At 43.3% G+C, this 23,461-nt stretch overlaps 1 long non-coding RNA gene across 1 annotated transcript in view; it reads right to left on the minus strand.

The window, feature by feature from the left end:
- The window catches only part of PIRAT1 (PU.1 (SPI1) induced regulator of S100A8 and S100A9 alarmin transcription 1), a 49,617-nt gene extending 35,565 nt beyond the window's left edge, over positions 1-14,052 (minus strand). The window contains exons 1-2 of the long non-coding RNA NR_110012.1: positions 13,932-14,052; positions 3,303-3,467 (exon numbers count right to left, since the gene is read on the minus strand). This is a non-coding gene — a long non-coding RNA (PU.1 (SPI1) induced regulator of S100A8 and S100A9 alarmin transcription 1). The remainder of the gene's footprint in view (positions 1-3,302; positions 3,468-13,931) is intronic.
- Positions 14,053-23,461: the final 9,409 nt, after the last annotated feature.

The raw sequence follows: 23,461 nt of genomic DNA on the forward strand, positions 1-23,461 counted from the left end.
AGCAGTCTAGGTCCTCGGGTTCCAGCCCACCTGCCCAACCTCCTCTCCCTCCATTGCTTAAAGTGCCAGCCAGGTAGAGGTGCTCATTGTCTATTCCCAGCAAACCTGCCCTCTCTGTCCATTGGTCCTCATGGCCACCCTCCACCTGGCTTGTCCCTACAAATCTTCCCATTTCTCTCTGTCTATTCAAACCCAAGCTCTATTATGGTTCTATCCCCTAACGCGTCTCCAACTGGAGAGCCAGCCCATCCTGGTCTAATAGAGTGGCTTTCTTATATTGCTTATTCTATTTCAACAGAAACTTCCTGGAGCTGAAAAGTAACTGGACTCAAATAGAAAATATATATATATATATCAGGAATAGAGGAATTTCAGGTACCAAACCTATGGTAGAGGAGCTACTTAGAGGCCAGAGGGCCACATAGATGACGGCATACTCAAACCTGGCTCTGTGTTCACACCGCTTTCATCTCTGGAAGGTGGCAAAGAAGCTTGTGCTGGCTCTTCCAGTTACCCCAAGGCCATCATGCCCCATCTTTTCTCCAATCAGAAGACATTTGTATCCACACGTGCACATTCCTTTATTTTGCTGCTTTGGATAACTTTTAAACTATATATTGTTCCCCACTTGTTTGGAGGCAAAGGTATAAAAAGGAGATGGGAGCAGATCAAGAGAGATATATTTGTTTTTAATTCTTTTCCGGTATATCAGTTAAAGTCCTCTGAGGAAGACAGAAACCACTCTAGATATTTCAACCAGGGAATCACTTCACAGATTATAGAGAGATTAGCATCTTTAGTAACCCAGGACCACTGCTGAGACTGGAGGAACATGGGGAGGAAGTAGCGTGACCAGAGACTGGTCGTCAGGGCCATGGGGCAGTGGCTGCTTAGTGGGAGCTGGGATCATGGAGGAAAGGGTTTCCCTGCAGGATCCACAGCCAAGAAGGAAACACAGCCACTGTAAGTGAGGCCACAGGAAGGGGGAAGAAGGCAAGAAATGACCACGATTCGCCCCCTCTGCACCCCCAGTGCTCCCTCAGGGCCCCCCATTGGTGTACACTGCCTGAAGGCTGGAAGGAGAGGGGCCCTGGAAAGAACAGGAATGAATCTGGGGGCACTGGCAGGCAGGCAGGCAGCACATCCTCCTCCTACACAGCTGCCACCACGCCCACACCTCCCTCCTCCTCATCCTGGCAGGCCCCTGGCCCTCCCAGATGACCATCAGACATCTCTAACATTCCCTCCTGACCTTGACCTCCACTGCATCAGCACTGTCCTTGCTGCCCCAACCCTCTCTGGCCTCTCTCTTGAGCTGCCAAACACTGAGGAGAACAGTCGCAGGGCTGTGCTGACTGAAGCCACTGACACGGGCTATCGAGCCTGCAGATGACCCTCACGGCTGCTGGACAATCCTTTGGACAAGATTCATGAATTTTCAGGCATCTCTCAGATTGGCTCCCCAAGTCTTTCCCATTCTCCTCAAGTCCCCACCCAAGCCTCATTCCCTCAGGTTGTCCTCTCACTCTCCTGAGACACCGAGCCATAGACATGACCTTTCTCCATGTCTCTCCTTTTGAAGCTTCAGTCATTCATTTTTTCCTCCTGTCTCTGAGGATGACACCCTCATCTTTCTTGTCCTGGGCCCCCTCTGTAACTTTGCTCCAATCATCCTCCCTTCTGATTTTTTGTTTTAAAGCTTCCCTCTCCCTTGGCTTTGTTCTCTCTACCTAGAAGTGAGCACAGGTGCTCCGTTGCTCACAAGGCAACAAGAAAAAGTCCTTTTACCTCTTTGACCCCCTCTCTTTACCTTCAAATGTATTCAAAGAGCAAGAGTAACCCACCATCTGTTTTTCATGGCTTCATGATTGTCCATTCCAATGGCTTTGATCCACCTTTCTTATCTGTGACTGTCCCAGTATTGGACTCCATTAACAACCTCCCCAACCCCACCCTCTTTCTGGAAAGGTCTCCCTCAATTTCTGTGAGGTTGTGCTCCGTTGCTCTCTGCCCCGCATTCTCTCCAAAAGCTCCTCCATCACTTCTTCCCGGCTCCTCTCTCTCCTCCTGTGCAAACACATAGGGGTCTCCCTACTCTCTGCCCTCAGCCCTCACCATGTAATCCCTGCACTTGGCCTTTCTGTCGTCTCTCCTCTCCTGCCCCATCTCTGTGTAGCATTCTCTGGATCTGTCCCCTGCTCCAAGCCTTGGGGACAAAAAGCTGGTCCCAAATATTCAACCAGCTGGCAATCTGATGCCTTCTGCTGCCACAAATCTCTGTACCCCAAACGACACTTATTCCTTCCCATAATCCCTCAGCCAGATCCTACCACTGACTTCACACTTTTCCTCGTGTTCTGCCTCAACATTTTATGTGGCCTTTGACTCTTCCGTGCCCACCTCCAGTCAGTCACCGAGCCAAGAAAATCCAAGAAGACAGACCCCCTCCTGTTTCCACTGGCCTCACCATTGAACAAACACTTATTATGTTCAAATATAATATATTTTCTATATAATGTATAATACGTTTATTATATTTAAATATATATTTTATATAATGTATAATTTATTAAATTTTATATATTCATATATTTTCTATCTTTTATTTATAAATATTATATGACATATTTCTATATTTAAATATTAATTTATTACACATTTATGTATAACTTTGTGTCATATAATATATTTAATATATAAATTATATTTTTAACACATATAAATATACCATGAAACATTTCATACATGAACATAAATGATGTTACACTGTCATGGTTCCCAGTCTCTGTGCTGAGGCACCCAGGACACCACAGTGAAATCACAGAGGCTTCACAGCGTATATCAGTTTTCAAGGGACAATACACAATCTACGACTTTTAAGATTTGGGGACCTAACAACCTACACAGGTATTTAGTTTTGTCTTGGGACACTGAAAAATTTGTTGAGACACTAAGGGCTTTATGATCTGAGAGAGTTTGTGAAACTCAGGTATCTAGGTTTCAAAAAATACAATGGCCACCCGTGTTCCTACAAGGCAGCTCAGGAATAGAGCACTTAAATACCTGGAAGCCCTCTGATGTTCCATCCCTAATTACATCATCTGCACCTGCCCACCCTTCCAGAACTGATTACTGGTCTGAATTTTTGCATTTACAATTCCCTTGCTTTTCTTTATAGTTTTTATTGCAGTTGTCTGTGTTCTTAAAACATATAGGCAGATATGCATATTGTTTAGATTTGCATGTCAACCTTCATCACATTTTTCACTGAATGTTACCTATCTCCTGGCTAATTTTCCTACCTCTTAGTTGATCTTCTTGCCATTGCATGTACTTTTTTAGTATGCGATCAGGTCTCTTCACTGCTCAACAGTCTTCAGGGACTCCCCGTCCACTACTGAATCAATTCCCTTGGCATTCTCTGCTTCACCAAGTCCCTTAATTTCTCTGAATCCCAGCTTCCTTATCTGTAAAATAGGAGTGACGATACCCATCTTACAGTATTGTTTTTAAGGATCAAGCGAGACAATCCTGTAACATGCTTACAATGGGGTCTGACACATAGTAGGAAGCACAGTATGTTGGAGCTCTTATTATTATTATTATTTTTATTACTCCTCCCTGAGCCGTTATTTTTTTTCATGATTATTACTCCTCCATGAACTTTTCCCTTAGACATAGCACAGTGCCCTGAACACAGTGAATGTTCAGGAAACATTTGTTGAATGTGAAATAAACTGATCTCCATCAACTCACGTGCAAGTTGGTAATGCCCAGAAAAGGAGCTCTTATTAATGGGTCTTTGAAGAACCCCCAGAGGGAGGCCAATATTGCCTATTTTGGAAGGAGAGGGGAGGACATTGATACTTTCTCTTGCTAAGGAGAGTAAATAAGATGTAATGGGGTCTTTAAAACATTTTTATAGCAGTGTGTGGGCATGGGCTTGGTCTGAGCTGCTCCCAGCTGGCTTTTGTCAAGCGTTGGCTGCCTCAAAGCAGAGCAGCCTGCTCGGGAGGACCGCAGGATTCGCTGGGGCCCCAGCTGGAGGGAGGGAACCCATTCCTCTGATGTGCACAGTTGTCTCAAGCCTGGAACCCATTCCTTGCTCAGATGCCAAAAAACTATTTTGGATCCTGTAGAGCTGGCAGGAGTCCCTAGTATGCCATGTCTCCGTGTGTGAAGTGCTTGTCACTTGCTTCTTCCCTTGGGGCTATTTCAAAGAAGATGGAAGAAATTAATGGCTGTAAATGACTAAGGCCCTCGAGTTATGGTTTTATTGATGCATAATTTTGACAGGTTGTCTCCTTATTGAGAAACGGCATGTTTCTGATCTTTTGAGAAAGATTATTCTCGCTAATCTGAGAAGGGGTGCCATGCATGATGCTGGAAAAGGACAACATGTAATCAGTCTTAGCAAAAACACATCCCCACAGGCCTGTGGTCCCTGCAGAACCACTTCATCTTTAATTTGCTGTGTTTTCTCAGTAGGTTCTCATTCCTGCCTCTCCATTACCACTGCCTGATCTTCAAACTTGCAAAGGAAAGTCACCATTTGTTCTCTAGGAGTGTCATGTTTTAAAACTATGCACATACTAAAAAGCAGAAAAACTTGCATACATGTGCAATTATGTCAACGTAAGTGCACATTTATGTGAATATATTCTGTACATAAGGTAAAAAAAAATAGGATAGTGTTCTATGATAAGAAATGCATATTGACTACCCAAACAATGATTAAAGTTTATCTATCTTCTGCCTTGGGTAGCACAGAGTGACTTATCAAATGTCAATGGTTACACTAACATTTACTTTAGCAGAGAGATAATTACAAGAGCTGAAAAGCCTATTGAAACCATCAGAGTGTCCACACATCAGCTGGTTTCCATCCAAACCAGTTTATAATCTAAAGCAGGAATGTCTTTCCTTTAGATGCGACTAAGGTCACAACCTTTTGTTTTTTGTTCTTAACAAGGTTCCGTGGCCATAGTGACCCCAGCCAAGTTTCACATTGCCTCCGGACTTCTGGATGTGGCTCTGCTGCTAATGCTGGCGGGGTGAGTGGAAGAGCTGACCACTGGCTCTAGTTGCAATTTCCACTATGAAAAATGTTTCTAGGGAGGTAGACGTGAGAGGTCAAATGGATTATGAATGACATTTGTATAGCCAAGTTCATAAGATCCTGAAGGAGCAATAGCAAGGCTCTCTTTACTTTTGTGTATTTGCTTTGAAAGTCAAGGTAACTCATAGAATAACCCTTTTTTGGAAATCTTAGTTACAAAGTTGTGATTTGATATTAAAAATTTAGATACATTAGATGATTTGCAACTTTGTTGTTGACCTTTGTGAAAAGAAAAGCAAATATCACTCAGGTGTGCTTCACTAGGTACTAAAAGGTAAACAGCTGTGTGCAGTTTCAGTGATTTTTCCCCGGTGACACCCATTCTGAATGAGGTGCTTTGTCTTAATTTTAGATAGAACTGAAACTCTTTATTAAATAACTAATTGCTTATAGCAACTGGTCAACTTCCTCTTTAAAGAAAATATTCTTGGAAAATGATCTTTTTGTGTCTAGAAATCCTTTGTAAAACAATTACTCTTATTCACCCACCACGTAATCTTCAACTTTCTTAAAGTAATTTTATTTAAAGCCTACTTAGAACACTTACATAGATTTGCTTTCCAATCATGTGAAGCTTCAGGTTTGAACTTTGGAACTTTCAACCAAGCCTCACTTGCCAGAAGGAGTAGGTGGAAGTTCCACCCTTCCCTTTTCCCCATTAGTTCATTCATTTGTTCGTCTGACATTTATTTAGGTTCTCCTGGCTTGTAAACACCATGCCAGACCTTGCAGATTTCAAAATGAAAAAGAACCTCAATGAAGGGGATGACTTTGTAAGCAAGTCATTGCAATAGAGTCAGATAATTGCCACCAGAGAGGCACCCAGAGGAAGCACTGACCCCCCTTGATTGAAGGAGTCAGAAAAGTCTCCATGAAAAGATGGTATTTGAGCTCAAACTTGTAAGAGTTTGCCAAGCCAAAGAGAAGGAGGAAAGGGCTTTGAGGTTAAAGAAATATTGGCATAAAAATGCAGGGATGATATGAGACGTATTTGGTGATGCAAGATGGGGAGCGGTAATTCATGAAACACACACATGCACACTCACGCACATATAATTAAATGCCTACTATATACCAAGCACTGGACAAACAAGTGTGTTTTTCATTCATTATCTTGTTTCATTTTCATGAAGATACCATGAGGTAGGATATTTTTTTAAATCATCACTTTACAAATGAAAAAATGTATCATTATCACTGCTTTACAGATGGTGCTCCCTGTGATTCAGGGATTTACCCATGGCCCTAGAGCTCATCAGATGTCACTAGCATCAAATCCTTTGCAGGTTCATGCAAGGTGGTTAGGGTCCTTCCATGCCATGTAGAGACTTTGATCTTCATCCTGTTGGCAATGGGACACCATCAACATGTTTCCAATAAGGCAATGAAGCACTCTGGCTAAGTTTTGAAATATAATGATATAGCAGGAATGTGAAGGAAGGGCTAGAACAAGAAGACATAAGAGACAGGAAAAATAATTAAGAGGGCATGAAAATAGTCTAGGCAAGAGATAGCAAGGACCTGAAACAAGGAAGGGGTGATAGAGCAGCGAAGATGGATTTGAGAGATAATTCAGAAATAAAAGGGAAAGGATAGAGGAGCCCTGGGGCAGGAATTACCCGAGCTCTCTGTTACAAGTCACAGAACCTATGTATTCAAGTCAGTTTTAGAAGAAAATGAACTTGTTAAGTGATCTGAGGGAATTTATAGAGTCTTTGGGAGAGCCAGAGAATCAGTTTTGGAAGTGTCAGGGTTAAAAGAAGGGCCGGAATTACATGGAGACCCTGCTGCTCCCTTCACTAGCCTTTGGAACTGGTGCCCAGGTATGCATTTCCTGCTGCACTTATAACAAATTAACACACACTTAGGAGATTAAAACAATACCCTATATTCTCTTACAGTTCTGGAGGTCAGAAGTTCAAAATGGGCCTTGCTGGGCTAAAATCAAGGTGTGGCAGGGTTGATTTCCTTTCTAGAGGTTCTAGGGGAGTGTGATTTTCCTTGCCTTTCCCGGCTTCTAGAGGCCACATGCATCCTTGGCTCACAGCCCCCTCTGCCATCTTCACAGCCAGCAGTGTGGCTTCAAATCCTTCTCTCTTACTTCTGCTTTCATTGCCATGTCTCTTCCTCTCCCTCTGCTTCCATCATCACATCACCTTCTCTAATTCTGAACCTCCCACCTCTTCCCTTATACGGAACCTTGTGATTACATTGAGCTCACCCAGATAATCCAAGACCATCTCTCCATCTCAAGATCCTTAACTTGATCCCATCTGCAAAATCCCCTCTGCCATGTGAGTTAATGTATTCATATTCAGGTTCCAATGATTGGGACGTGGACATCTTTGGGAGCTCATTATTCTTCCACACAGTACTGCAGCTTATCTCTCAAACTCTGGTCTTAGGGACCTCCTTGAAGGACATAACCCCTCTTTGTCTCTGAAATGCTGGCTGTCACTGCTGCACCTACCCTCACCAGAATGTCTGCAGCCCAGGCCTGCTGCTTCATGTCCATAGATTCCAAATCAGAGTCTTACATAGTTGTATGTGATCAGGGTGTCTGGATCGTATGCCCAAACCTCAGCTGCAAGAATGGCCCAGAGAACAAGTTTTGACTTCTTCCTTAGGAGCAAGCAGGCTCATGATGCCGGGGGAGGGGTGGGGGAGTTCATAAGTTGATAGGGGCCAGGCACAGTGGCTCATTCCTGTAACCCCAACACTTTAGGAGGCTGAAGCAGGAGGGTTACTTGAGCCCAGGAGTTCAAGACTAGCCTGGGCAACAGATTGAGACCACATCTCTACAAAAAATTGAAAAAAAATTAGCCGAGCATGGTGGCGCACCTGTAGTCCCAGCTTACTCCTGAGGCTGAGGCAGGAGGATCACTTGAGCCTGGGAGGTTGAGACTCCAGTAACCTATGATCTCAATACTGCACTCCAGCCTGGGTGAGAGAGTGGGATTCCATCTCAATGAACAAACAAAAAACAAAAGTTAATAGGTGGCCAAAAGCATGACGAATAGCTGCAAAACCTAGCCAAACCTCAGGTCATACCATGAGTTCTGTTGCCAGTTCCACACTTAAGAGGAATGTAAGCCAGCACAGAGATGGCAGCAGGGATGATGCAGGAGCCTGACATTGTAAGTCCAGGGTGTTCATAGACTGGAGGACATAAGGGCAGTTTTAAAAGACACATGATTGAGGTTTCCTAATAAGCAAGAACTTGCACATGGAAGAGAACTTGGACCTGTCTTGTGTGTCTCCGGTGTTCAACACTAGGACTCTGTAGAGGGTGACATGGTAACAGGGTGTTTCATTTCTCAATTGCATGATCTAAAGACCAATGGGTTGCTCCAAACAGGCAAGAAGCTCGCTGCCATTTAAAGTATTGAGGCAGAAGCAGGATGACAACATGTTGGGGCACAAAGAGGGGAGGCAAATAGCAGAGGAGATTGCAATAGATGGCTTCTAAGTTTATTATTCTGTTCTTATCCAGTAACCAGGTTATTGGTGGGGAAGGTACTAAGGGCCAAATCACAGCTTCACATGAAAGTAACTTTTTTTTCTTTCTTTTTTTTTTTTGAGATGGAGTCTCACTCTGTCACCCAGGCTGGAGTGCAGTGGCGCAATCTCGGCTCACTGCAACCTCCAGCTTCTGGGTTCAAGAGATTCTGCTGCCTCAGCCTCCCGAGTAGCTGGAATTACAGGTATCTGCCACCACACCCAGCTAATTTTTTGTATTTTTAGTAGAGACGGAGTTTCACTATGTTGGCTAGTCTGGTCTCAAAACTCCTTACTTCAGGTGATGCACCCACCTTGGCCTCCCAGAATGCTGGGAGTACAGGCGTGAGCCACCGTGCCTGGCCCAAAAGTAACATTTTTAAGGAGAAAATGCTTGATGCATTTTTTTAAGTCTTGCCTTTTATTTTCTGATTCCTGATTCTTTCCCCTTTTTTTAAACAGTAAGTAACATTTTTAAACAGTGTAGTTTGTTCCCACTCTGACTCCGGAGTCTGGTTTTTCTCTCGGGCCTGCTGCTGTGTTGGAGGACTTGACATGCCTTTTGTGTTCTGTAATGTCTTCATCTGAACAACAGGCCTGTAAAGACTGATCCCCAGTGATTACGCCAAATGTTACTGGAGAGAAGTGGATGAATTTATACAGGAACTAAGTGATTCAAATCTGCTTTCCTTTTCTATGTATGCAATTCTCTGTCTGCATTCCAACTGTTGGCACAGAAGCCCTGGTCCACTGCCCCGGTTTATCACCTTCACACAGAGATGGGGGTGGCAGACATAGGGGCTGCGCATCGGGGCCATGTTGACCTGCTTCTTTCCAAACTGCTCCAAGTGTTATGCATTTACATGTACCCACAGAATGCATTTGGGATGGTTACTTTTCAACACCGTGAATCTAATGCACAGAATGACACCCGTTTTTAAGTTAAAAGTCAAGATGTTTTTGCTTGGATTTAACCTAACCTTCTTTTCTTTTAATCCAAGCTCCATGTTGCTTGATATGATACAGACTTCCTGAGTGACCCAGGCATCATTAGTAACAGACACTTTGGCCTTTTTATCCTTTTTTTTTTTTTTTTGTAAAAAGGGAAAAGCAATTTCTGTTCATCTGCGAAGCACCAAAATGAATATATTTGCAGATTAGATGATACAATTTCTGTAACTGCCATGGATCTCATGTTCAAAGGACAGTGTGTGGGTGGGTGTGTGCACACGTGTGTGTGTGCATGTGTGGGATGGTGGCGAGGATAGGGAGTAGGCGTATGGGAAACTTCAACAATTTTTAAAATATTCTTAGTGTTTTGTTAACCTTCTTTTACCAACCTTCACACCAAATTTTTGAAAATCATGTGGTATACTTACAGGCGTTTGTTTTGTTTTTCTTTATTCTTAGAAAGCATTCTTTCTGGATTGTTTTGTTTTAGTCCTGAGTAGGTAACTACGCTGCATGACAATAAAGTGGATCTTCATGAGCAGGTGTTGCAATCAAATACAATTCTCAACAAAAAATGCCCTGACAGATATTCACAACATGAGTAATCCAGCCTGCATGATGATTAGCTAGAAATGCTAAGCAGCAGTTTCCATAAATGACTATAATTAGTCATCTTTTAACACAGCTAAGCCAACTCACAGTGCCTCTTCTTAGAAGTTCTCTAGAATCTATAAATAGAATGTTCAGCATTTCCCCAACATCGTGTTCAGTCTGAGTGTCCCCTCAATGTGTCCTCTTCTTTGCTTTTCTTTCCTCACTCCCCACTCCTTTTCTCCTTCCTCCACTCATCCCTCCCCTGCAGACCGTCCTGCCCAGACAGTGCTTTTCACTCTCAATTTTTCTCTCTTTCCCATTAAAAGACAACAATTTTGCATCTGATTCTCCCCGAGCACCATGGCTAGAGTTCCACATGCCCATGTCCTTTTTCTTAAAGACTCCATATAGGACATCCCAGCTGTCCCTGCTCCCCAGTCCTGCCGGGATCCACTGGGCTCAGGAGTCCAGGTGGCCAAGGGCTAGCTGGGGTGGGAGAAGGGTGCTGGGAACTACACCAGATGTTCCTTTCCTATGATTCCTATACTCTAGTGGGGGAAGGGTGAGGCTGGGCAAGCGGTGGAGAATGGATGGAGGGACCAGCTGGTCAGGAGGCCTAGATCCCATCAGAGCATTAACCCCATGGCCCTGATCCCTCATCCAGGACAGTAAGGATGGCTGGGCAAGTGGCCTGAGCTCTTGCTCATATGCACCTGCTACATATAATGCGTCCAGACCTACAGCAAGACAGTCATGACAGCTGTTCCCATCCCCAATTACATGCATGTTCAAAATACTTAAAGGCTGAATGTTAAAAGAGAGAGGATAAAGCTACCGAGCATTTGAGGTAGAGCCTAGAGCAGTAACGGGATAGCACTGTGACCCCCTGGCAGTGCAAGACTGTCGTCTCCTCCTCCCTACCTAGCCTGGCAAGCTTTCATTCTTTCCACTTGCTCTCCTCCCAACCCTACAGACACACACACACACACACACACACACACACACACACACACACACACATTCAGACACTTCAGACACTTTCCACCCCTGCAGGCTACATATCAGAGGGAGTCACTGGGCTTGGAAAACAACAGGTTTCTGAAACTTAAGGAGGTAGAATGGGAACTTTTTCCACCATGCCTTCTGTTTACTGACCCCAGCTCTCCAGCCACTGTACTCCCTCCCCCATTTCCCTTCCCCAACCCCACCACCTCCATCAGACTCCCTGAGTCTGAAGGCACAGGATGGTTAAAAGGAGCCTTCATTCCTGCGACTCTACTCTCTTCTCCTCAAAGAAGTGGCAGGCAAGGTAGGGCATTCTCACTGTCTCAACAATATAATTTGCACATGCCCTGGCCCTGTGCCCTTCGGTAGCCATGTCTTCCCTCCCTGAAGTCCCCTGGGATTCTCCTTTGTCACTAACTGGCTTCCTTTCCTGGCATGGAGCACCTGACCCTGTCTGCTTGTCTCTTTTACCGGCAAACTATATCTCCCAAGTTGGCTGGCTTTTACCTTAGGGGTCAGGAGAGGGAGCAATCAGGCCAGAAGAGGGACAGGAGCATCAGCCACCTAAAGAAGGAATGGTAGCAACAATGAGACTGTTTAATCTTTCTAATTGCTGACACCTTCAATACAGTATCTGATATTCATTCAGTAGTTATCAAGGGTCACTTCTGTGCAGCCACTGTTCTGAACTCTCGGAATACAGAGGGAAAAAGACAAAGTGCCTGACCTCATCTAGCTTTCATTCTAATGTAGTAGCTAGGCAATAGACACATAAACACGTAAATATATACTAGAAAGCCAGCTAGTCAAGGGCATGCTTATCGTTGTTTTTTGGTTACCCAGAATCTGAACCTCCATCCTATGTTTGAGATTCCCTACCTCATGGAATCTGGTGGATAAGCAGAGCCCATGGTCCATTACATAGAATTTGAAAATGCCTGATAGTGGTTTTATCAGCCTCTCTTGTAGAAGGAGCCAAGGCCTGTGGCCAAGGCTCCACCAGCCAGACACACTGGCCCACAATTTGAGTTAGGAACCAATGACTCAAGGACAAAGAGACTGAGAAAGCCCTCATAGGAGATGGCAGCAGCTGCAGAAAGATGGGGATTCCAAGGGTGCTGGTGACAGCGGGTTCCAGCAGTGTTAGTATCTGGGACGGTAGCATTGGTGACATAACCAGTGGCAGCTGGGGCAGCAGAGATCCCACCAATTCGTGCAATGCGTGCACTCTTCTTGGCTATAAACCACTAAGCCTTCCCAAACATTCCTGGAGCTGTCAAAGTCTACACATAAATCCTTCTTCTACTTAAACCCGCCAGAGTTCCTTGTGCCCTCATCTAAGAGCTGAACACAAGTAGTAACAAGTGCTCAATCAAAAGGAAAGCCAGACGAAGGCATGGAGAGTGATGAGAGGCTACCTTAGGTAGGTGGCCAAACTCAGCCTCTCCATGGATATGGCTTTTAAGTCTCTCCAGAAAGCCCGAGAGCAAGGCCACCTGAAGACCTGAGGGAAAGAACTCCAGAGAGAGGACACAGTGCAAAGGCTGGGCAGTGACAAGCTGGGGGGCTGAGGAATACCAAGAAGGCCAGTGTAGCCTGAGCTGAGACAGAAGCTAAGTCAGAAGGACAAGCCAGGGCCACAGTTGGTGAGGCTGGTTAGATTGTCGTGTGGAGTTTGAGTGTCATGCTGCGTGTGAGGGAAGCCCCAGCTGGTTTTAAGCAAGGTGACACGGTCTGGTAGTTGAAAAGATCACCCCGGCTGCTGTCAGAAGAATAGTCTGTAGCAAGACAGGAGTGGAAGCAGAAAGATCAGAGACTCTTGCAGAGGTTCAGGAGCCAGGTAGTATGGGTCTGATCCCTCTAGGCCGAGGGCGTTTGAGTGGCGGTGGTGGGAAGAAGAAAGATGAGGAGTAGATTTTGAAGGTAGAGCTGAGAAGCCTTGCTGTGTGTTAGATGAAGGGTGTGAAGGAAAGAGACAGTTCGGGACCGAGCCGCTCTCTGAGATGGGGAAGATGAAGAGAAAGGCAAGCTGGTGGGTGGAGAAGTCAGGATCAAGAGTTTGGCTTTAGATCTAGTGAGTGGGAAACACCAATGAGGTGGAGTGGAGACAGAGTCTGCAGGGGGATGTAAGGACCTGGATGAGGTGGGGGCGAGCTGGGCGCTGGAACTAAGTGTGTGGGATTCCTCGGCACGGGGAGGAAATGTACAGCCATGAAGCTCAATATGCTCACTCAGACGAGAGTGTGGTTCGAGAAGGGGGCTCAGGACAGAGCGCTGGGGAACCAGGGATGAAGAGATCACAGCGAGGAAGAGAATCCAGCTAGGGAACTGCAGGGCGGGAGGAAGAACACAGACTACGGCGTCCTGGAAGCCAAGAAAAGAAAACAGGGGCCTTGGCAATGACCCTAGGCACTTCCAGAGGATGCTTGTATCAAGCAGGTAAGGGGACTGGGGCTCCCAGAGGATGGGCCACCCCGTTTCAGTGCATGGCCCGGCGCCTCTTTAGAAGAGGAAGCCCCTGGATTCCAGAACGTGCTGGCTCCACCCAAGGCAGACGGCAGTGAGGCCACACACTATTCCCAGCCCCTTTCTCTCTGAAAAGAGCCCTTTGTAACTTCTTTGAGAAGGAAACACCTCCGTCAGGGGAGGAACATTATTTGCTTCCTGTTAGAACAGACTTTTACTTAGGATCAAGCTCGGTGTCAGCCCCATCCCCACAGGGAGCAATAAGGGAAAGAGGAGGGAGGGGGCCGCAGACACTCACTTGTGGGGGCTGGTTTCGCAGGAACGGCTCCGGAGAGCTTGAAGAGGGGTAGGCTGCAGGCCCACAGCCGCAGTCTCTCTCAGCTAGAAACCCTCCTCCCTCCTCTGCCAGCCTGTCCTCCCCGGGCTCCGTTCGAAAGGCCTGGGAGATAGGGAGAAGGCTGGTCAGCCTGGGCGGTTAGTGGCTGGTTTAACACTTCCTTGCCTGCCAGCCCTTTCCCAGGAAGACTACAGCCAATCATTCATTCATTCAAAAGCTCTTTGCCAAGCACCTACTCTGTGCTAGGTCTGTGCCCAGCATGGGGACACAGTATTAGGCAAAAAAAAAAAAAACAAAAACCAGACATCCCCCATCTGCCCTGAACTTACAGTCTAGTGGGATAAATTAAACAAGGCACGCAAACACCTCTACAGCCACAAATGTGATAAGGCTCTAAGTGAATATCGCACATGACAGTGGCCCTGCTGAAGGCCAGGCAGAGGTTCCTTCTTGAGGAAGGACGTCTCTGAATCTCCAGAAGCCAATAGAATCTGTAGCAGCAGAAGAAAGGGTCAGGTTTCTAGAACTGCCCACTACGACTTTAGAAGCTGACGCATCTCTGTTATGCCGCGGCTGCGATGTTTTAAGTCCCCAAAGCCCAGAGCACATCGTGGAGCATGGAAGTGGTTCACTGAGAAGCTGAATCTAGTCCTGGGGCTGCTGGTGTGGAGGGTGTGTTCCGCTCTTGGGGCAGCAGCAACAGGTGCCGTGAGAGGCTCAGAGCTTTTGAAGCAGAAATGGCAATACTCTACATCTTCAGCAAATATTTGGGAGTCTTTTGTTAAAAGAAGAGCAGAATAAATATCTATGCCTCTTGTAAAACCCAAAGGAAAGCTCTCAGATAGGCTTCTTTAGGGCTATGACTATCTCTGCAGCTTCACTATACTGAGTTAAGTCTGTAGAGCATCTGTAACCCTAGGCATGTGTGTCCACAACCTCCACACGTACACAAGGACACTCCTACAGAGGACAGGCCGTGCGGACAGTTAGGGGAGGACAGTGGAGGCCGCTTCAGTTCACTTCGGTGCTTTGGATTCAAGTGTTTTTCTGTTTCATTTTCTGGGTAGCTGATTATTAAGCTAAACACTCCTTTGATGGTTGAAAATACATTAGTCCCTTTTCTTGCACGAATCTAATTCACCAAAGCCTATTAAAGTGCTTTTGGACCAATGAGGAAATTTAATGCTCAAGTATTTTATTCTGAATTCCAATTTTCCTTGTGTTATGATTTTACCTATAGGTGGTTGGGTTGATTGTATGGTAAAGATGAAAAAAAGCATATTTGGAAAGAACATGACAATTCTCAAGGTGTTTATACTACTTTACTGTATTTGATCCTTGCAACTGCCATGTGAATTAGGCAAGAAATATTTCAGTTTTACAAATGAGAAAACTTCTGTCCTGAGACATTAAGTGATATACTCAAAGGTCATATAATAATTTGTTTTGTTTTTATCTTGACTACCATACTCCTCTATACCACCTTCAGGACTCTGGAAGTCAGATATATGTGAGTTTTTTGTCAACTAAATTCATAGTTGTCTTAATATTCATCCCTTGCTAAAATTAAGGTGCAGAAATAAAATCTGTCTAATAGAGAAATATAAATCCATCTTTTGTCTGGATAATCAAATTTTACTATATTTTGTTTTAATCCTGAGAATGAAATTTTACAAATAGCTCAGGAGGTTTTCCCTAGAGTTCCAAATAAAAGTGTGTGGATCATATACACGTTCTGCTTAATCACATGACGGTTCCAAATTTTTAATTTCAATCCTTCATTACGATGAAAATTTTTGCGTTTTTTTTCCACCAGCTCTTTGTTTTGTTTTTCAATGGCTCAGGAAAGGAGAGGGGTGTGGGAGACTCTGTCTCTTTTGACAATCACCAGCGCCATCTACTGTCAAGAAATAAAATCGTGACTCATTGTTAACGCGTCAATGAACATTAGGGCTTAAAGAGGGAAAGACAATTTTATACCCCAGTACTTACTGATAAATATAAGTTCATGTACACATATTTTTATCTTATATTATTGTATTCTTAAGCAGCCTATAGGGAGAATACAATGAACTTAATATATAATTATTTATGTAATTCTTAAGAGCACTAACTTTGGAAGAGGATAAAAATGGGGTGAATTTCAGCTAAACCACTTAATAGCTACGTGATTTCTCTTACCCTCAGTCTTTTCATCTGCAAAATATGAACAATTATACTTAGAAGGTTGTTTTCTTGATTAAATGACATATGTAAAATTTACCCCAAAGCTAGCAGATCAAGGCAGCTATTGTTATACGACATTTATGGAGCACACGCTGGATATCAGCCTCTGCTGGGGGCTTGCTTCACAGCAATCCTGTGAGCTGGAGAGGCTCTGAGCTAGCAAGTACTGTGTCCAAGATTACACAACTAAATGAGAAGCATTTTTAAGTCCAATTTTCCATCTGATTTCAAAGTTGTTATCGTTTCTGCTATCTCACAGAGCATGGCTATGAATCCCCTTCTGATACATATCTGTGAAGGTTCATTTTAGGCCCACTAGGGAAGATCTGCTTTTCATATATTTATATGGGCTCCATCCTTTGTGGTCTGATGTGTGTAGCTCATTGTAGGGATGTGCCAAGTTTGCCTAACCACGCTATAGTTAAGAAAGTAACTTCAGGAAGACTCAAAGGATTTTATATGCAACCCTGATCATAACCCAAGATGAAAAGGATGATAAACCTTTTCATCTTGGGTTATGATCTACCACCCTCACAGCATTTTATACAGAATTCTCTGATACTGTTACCTACCATGTGATCGATAGTTTTGTTTTTTCTTTTCTTTTCTTTCTTTCTTTTTTCTTTTTTTTTTTTTTTTTAACAAAGCTGTCTCTCTTTCTGGAATAGAATTCCTCAAGGGCACAACTCATGCTTGATAAATCAATGAATAGATGAATGAAAAGTGATTACGTATTATAATCCCAGTGTGAAGTGATGAGGCCTTCACAAGGCCTTTGAAGATAAGGACCGTAAATTCTCCCTACACCAGCACGTGGTGATTATCCATCTGAGATTTACTGACTTCAGTTGAATCAAGTTGGCTAAAAGTTACCCTCAAGATACTTCTTTAAAGACAACCCACTTCAGAGTGCCAGTCTTTCCTCCTACACTAAATCCAAAGAGAATTTTTAAAATTCAAATTTATTCTCTAGAGAATTTAAGATTTTCTTGAGATTCAACAATAATAACAATTATAAACAGATAAAATGCATATATAAGTCACAAAATTGTATTGCTAAAGTGGATTTTATTTTTATTTGAGATGGAGTCTCGCTCCTTCTCCAAGGCTGGTGTGCAGTGGCATGATCTCAGCTCACTGCAACTTCCATCTCCTGGGTTCAAGCAATTCTCCTGCCTCAGCCTCCTGAGTAGCTGAGATTACAGGCTTGCATGACCACATCCAGCTAATTTTTGTTATTTTTAGTAGAGACGGGGTTTTGCCACGTTGGCCAGGCTGGTCTCGAACTTCAAGAGATCCACCCACCTCAGTTTCCCAAAGCGCTGGATTACAAGTGTAAGCCACTTTGCCTGGCCTAAAGTCGCTTTTTAAATCAAGGGTTCTCGCTGTGTATGGTGGCTCACACATGTAATCCCACCTCTTTGGGAGGCCAGAGGTTGAGCAGGAGGACCACTTGAGCTCAAGAGTCTGAGGCTGCAGTGATGAGCTAATGAGCTTGAGCTATGATGAAGCCACTGCACTCCAGCCTGGGTGACAGAGTGAGACCCCCCCATCTCTAAAAACACAACAAAACAAAAAAAACCTAAGAGTGCTCTGTCACTCATCTATTAAAAAAAAAAAGGCAACCTCACCGAAGTGTTTTGAGTATTAAATAAAATAACATATATAGAACACCTAGCAGAGTGCTGACTCACCTCATTCTTTCACTCAAAAATATATTTCCAGAGCTCCTGCCATGTGCCACATAGACAATGTTCTAGGCACTAATGGTGTGACAGCAAACGAGACAAAATCCTACCCTCATGAAACTTACGTGGGGGTTGCAGGAGGCACCAAATGGCAGGCAGGAAATCCAACAAATAAGCAAATGAACAGTGCTACAGGGAAAAGTTAAGGAAGGGCAGGAGAGCAGGAGTGCCAGGAGGTACTGGTTTAGATAGAGCAGCCATTAAGGGCCTCACTGAGCAGTGGTTCTTGAGCGCAGAGCAGATGAACTGAGAGTGTACTATGAGGATGCCCGGACAAAAGCATCTCAAACAGAAAGGACAGGAAACAGATCCCCTGGGATGGAAGTATGCTTGACTCAATATCAGCCAAGAGGGGTCCCTTCTCACCTCTACTCCCACACCTGAGCCCTTTGGTTTTCTTAATGGTGGCTCCCGTGATGATATTGATTTTAGGTGCGTAAGTATTGGCCATGCCTGCACATAGATGGAGAGACCTCATTGACAAAAACCTGCTCCTTGCAATGTGCCTCAAAGGCATAAAGAAAAGTAGCTAAGATGAAGTTCTCTGTGGAAGACTACTTCTGTTCGTGACTATTTGATTTACAATGTTGTAAAGGGTGACTGGGTTTCCAGGCTAGACCGCAGGACCCTACCTAATGTTTCACATAGAAGGAACATGGGGCACTTGTAATAGAATACAGTGGAAGACAACCCTGTTACCACTGTGTAGCATGATGTTCTAAATTCTATTCCAGCTCTGACATTCCATAATTCTATGTATATAAAAGGAGCAAAGGGAAAATTCATTACCTGCAGTAGAAGTTAAATGGGCCTTTGTGGGTTGACCTGGAGACCCAACACACACTTATAACATTCTCTTTGCAGAAAAATGAGTTCTGGGTTTCAAGTGCTACACTTACAGACGTTCAGAACATAGACCATTTATGAATTGGAGACTTCCTGTGGTAGGTGAGAGTGTCCCTGGTGGCAACGGGCAGGAAGAGATTAAAGAGCAAAGCCCAGAACTACTGTAGCTGGAGCCTTAATGAGGGAAACCCTGATCATGACGGACAACCCAGACAGAGTCCTCGGAGAGCCGCCAGCTCTCCGGCTAGTGCCGGTATAGCATGCAGGCACACTGCGAGTCATGGAGTGCCCTGCACAGCCTTCTGTAGAAGTCAACTGATAGAGCCCTCTAAAGAAAGGACCCGAAAAAATGTCAATGTACTTTTCTTTTTACTTTCTTGGGGGTACATGTCCTTCCCCCTCATCATCTGTCTCTTGTATTGTTACAGTAGAAATGCAAAGTGGAAAAAAATTGTATTTTGGATAACAGCTTTAGTTATTCAGGATAGGATGTTGTCGCAAAACACTAAACTTGAAAACTAGGCATTATTCAGAGAGAAAAAGTTCTTCCAAATGCTTTGATCTCCTGCTTTAACATATGAAAATCCAGACAGGACCATAAAAGTCTATATAGGAAATAAAAAGAGGTGAGAGGAAAGTCTATTTAGTCCCAGGAAGGTGTAGGAAGAGAAAGAAGCCAATGGAGCAGGTGAGACCACAAGCTTCTCCTTCATACCCCCAACTCCTGCAACCTTGGGGCATCATGGGAGCAGGAGGAGGTTGGGTGTTTCAGAAACATTCAGCCAGGTAAAAGAACATTTAGTAATGGTGTGCTTGTCCCAGGATGAGGGAGTGTAAATCCATACAGGTCAGCGCTGTCAACGGATGTCCTGCAGAACCCTTTTCCCCTGCACTGTCTGATAAGTTGGAAATTGACAGTAACTGTTCAGACACTTTTATGGCAATCTGACGTTGTTGCAACATCCAAGTGTGTGGTCTATGGAGCCATCCCGTGAAACAGGGAGGAGGCCTGCTCACCTGCTGTCACACTCGCACGCTGAGTCACAGCAGGTGCAAGCTGTGTGCTACATGTGGGAGGGAGAATGAGCGGCCGACAAGAAGCCAACAATGCATAAAGTTTTCAGAAAATCAGCATTTGGGTATTTTAACTTGCTACTTTCATGATCGTTTTACTTTTTAATCAAGCTTATTATTTAATTTATAGCTAATGTTGTTAACTAAATTAAAGAAGTTAAATTTGTACTATTTTTGACCCTAATTGATAAGCAGTAAAATAAGCTTTTCTGGGCTTTATTTTTTTAAGAAATCAATCATAATTTCTGATTCAAGAAATACATGATTATTGTAGAAAATTTGGAAAATATAAAAAATGCCAATTTCCTAGAATCTAACAATATGCTTGCCAAATGCTGTTTTCTATACGTAGATATGTATGTCCTGTAAAGGCACACTTTACTGAATGTGGCAGTAGTGATAAACCAGATGATGACAATGGAAGTGATTCCAAAGAAACAAAAATCAAAGGTCCTCATGTAGTTTAGTCTGAAGTATAATCTCTATAGATTTTGTACCATATTGAAGATGAAGTGCTAACACTATAGTGTTAGTTGCAGAGAAGTACTGGCTGATGATGCAATAAAACCATCTGAACTTAAGTGGCATTTACAGGTGAGAAATTTTTTAGAAGTTTAAAGTCAAAGAAATTATTTGAAAAATGAATATTGAGTCAGCGAGCTAACAGAAGCAAATCCTCAGAATTTCTCATTTAAACATCAGTGCTTTGCTGCTACATATAAATGAATACATCAGGTCAGTTACACTACAACTCTATATGTAATTGCTAAGAAGGCAGTGAAAACTTGCATCAGAAATGTTTGCTTGGAAATTTCAGATGAATCTGTAGCCAAGAAGGTAACTCTAGTACCACTTTCTTTTCTTTTCTTCTTTTCTTTTTTTTTTTTTTTTTTTTTTTTAAGACAGAGTCTTGCTCTGTCACCCAGGCTGGAGTGCAGTGGCGTGATCTCAGCTCACTGCGACCTCTGTCTCCTGGGTTCAAGCGATTCTCCTGTTTCAGCCTCCTGAGTGGCTAGGATTACAGGTGCACGCCACCATGCCCAGCTAATTTTTGTATTTTTAGTAGAGATGGGGTTTCACCGTTTGGGTCAAGCTGGTCTCAAACTCCTGACCTCGTGATCTGCCTGCCTCGGCCTCCTAAAGTGCTGGGATTACAGGTGTGAGCCACTGCACCTAGCCTCTAGTACCACTTTCTAATGACTCCATAACCTGACATATTCAGGAAATGGCTAATGATCTAGGAGACCAACTCAAGAACAAATGAAGCAGTCAAGTAGTTTTCTTTTTGAGAGGAAAGAGGGTGCAATTACTAATTAAACTAGGACAACAGGCATAAATCCACACAGTTCAGGCAAACCATGATGAATGATCAATCTATTCAAGAACCTCAATCTCAGTATGTGGCACAGAAGTAAACTCATCAACTTCGTTTCAAACCTTATCTTTCTCCTATATTCTCTATAGTATTTACTAATATCACCATCCATCTAGGTATCCAAGCCAGAAACCTGAAAGTAGTCTCTGACATGTTCTTTCTACCCCTTCATCCCCATATCCTCATCCTACTCCTTCAACTTGGCCTCATGAATATTTCTTGGATGTATTTGTTTCTCTATATCCTACTCTAACTGCTCTGGTACAGGCTCCCACCTTTCTAGCTGGTCTATAATGCTAACAAAGTGCTGTCTGTTTCAACTTGATGAATACACACATATTGCCGACTTGGTGTAAAGGAAAAATTGTGTTTAGCAACTTAATCACCATGAAACACAACTAGCTCTGAACCATATACAACTGGGAAGGACTATATTATAAATAACTATGATGAAGAGTTTAAATTGCATGTATGAATATGGTCTGGTGTTGTAATTCCAATGACAGGAAAACATTATGGAATGGTTACCCAGCTTAAGGAGCTTGTGCCAGTGACTGTTAATTAATTTCTAGTTTTCTTCATTGAGAAAATCCTGTTAAAAACCTTTTACAAGTCAGCCGAACTACACAGTGTGCTTAGTGATATAGTAAAAACTGAATGACCTCACAGCCAATATGTTCAATTCAAATCATTTTCTTTATTATGTGTTAATATGGATACTGATCCAAACAATAACAATCGTTTCTTGATGAGGTGGGATGGTCATTGAAAGGAAATGTTCTGTCAAGTCAAGGATGTTTGAACTATGACATGAAGTCATAGTTATGTTTCTGCAAGATAAGAAATCAGTTTAGTCCTAACTTTTGCAGATATGAAACGGACAGTCAGACTTGCTTACTTGTTTGATGTCTTCAATATTTTTAATGATCATGGTATTTCCATGCAAGGAAGGGAAGCAGCATGCTCTTCAAAGGTAGACAAAGGGCAAACACAAAAGTTAGGAGCTTGGAATCAGAGTTTCTACATATTGGGATGACAATAGTTACCATACAGTTACTATAATAATCTCATTAGAGCACACCTGAGGAAAGTAATTGTCACGCATCTTATGCATTTTATAGAATGTTTTCAATATATCCATCCAAAAGAGTCATACACAGGAAATTCATGTATGTAAAATCTATTTCTTTTATTAAATGATAGTTGAAATATTCCACTGTAACAAGTAAAGAAAATATTCGAACTATTTTTTTTCTTTTTTGAGATGGGGTCTCTCTGTCACCCAGGCTGGAGTGCAATGGCATGATCTCGGCTCACTGCAACCTCTGCCTCCCAGTCAAGCGATTCTCCTGCCTCAGGTTCCCGAGTAGCTGGGATTACAGGCACCCACCACCACACCCAGCTAATTTTTTTGTTTTTTTAGTAGAGACGGGGTTTCACTATGTTGGTCAGGCTGGTCTCAAACTCCTGACCTCAGGTGATCCACCTGTCTTGGCCCCCCAAAGTGCTGGGATTACAGGCGTGAGCCACCACACCCGGCCCATTTTTAAATTAATTTTGATTGATGTTTAATGTTCAAAATGTCAGTAGAAGGTACACATAATTCATAAATAAATAGGCCTATACTGGCAATGTGGGCCCCAGTAGTTTTTGCTGATTGAGGTGTGCTATCATCAAAATTTGGAGTCTCTTGATTTAGAAGATAGAAATATCAGAATATTTTAGCTGATGTGATTAAAAATTTGATTTCATTCTTTAATTTCCCCTTAGTTGAGTCCTTCTGATTATGTTCTTCCATATGTCTATATGAAAAGAGAACGTTAAAGATACAGACTTTGAATCACAGTTCCAGACTGATGATCATGCTTTCTCATGATAAATTAATAAAGTGGTTTCTGATTACGACTCACTTTGCCATATAGTAAGTACAGAAAATTGTAAACAGTCCAGTCCATTTTTTCTCACTAAGAAGAGTAGTTGACATTTGGTGTTGACCTCCGTCTCCTACACTTGGTCTCTAGCCTGAGTTGGTCTCTCAGACTCTGATGAATCTGACGCCTTACCTGTGGGGATCTTGGTCAGGAACCCCTCAGTAAAGCACCTGCCACTGAGGGTCTTCTTTTGAACCAGCAGTTCTCAGACTGTATTTTTATCCCACCCCATCCCCACTGCATAGTTCTGCTTTAGTCCATTTTACATTTTCAGCTTTGGCATAAGATTTC

The sequence above is a fragment of the Homo sapiens genome, chromosome 2 (genome assembly GCF_000001405.40).
Source record: "Homo sapiens chromosome 2, GRCh38.p14 Primary Assembly".
In the NCBI taxonomy this organism is placed as follows: domain Eukaryota; kingdom Metazoa; phylum Chordata; class Mammalia; order Primates; family Hominidae; genus Homo; species Homo sapiens.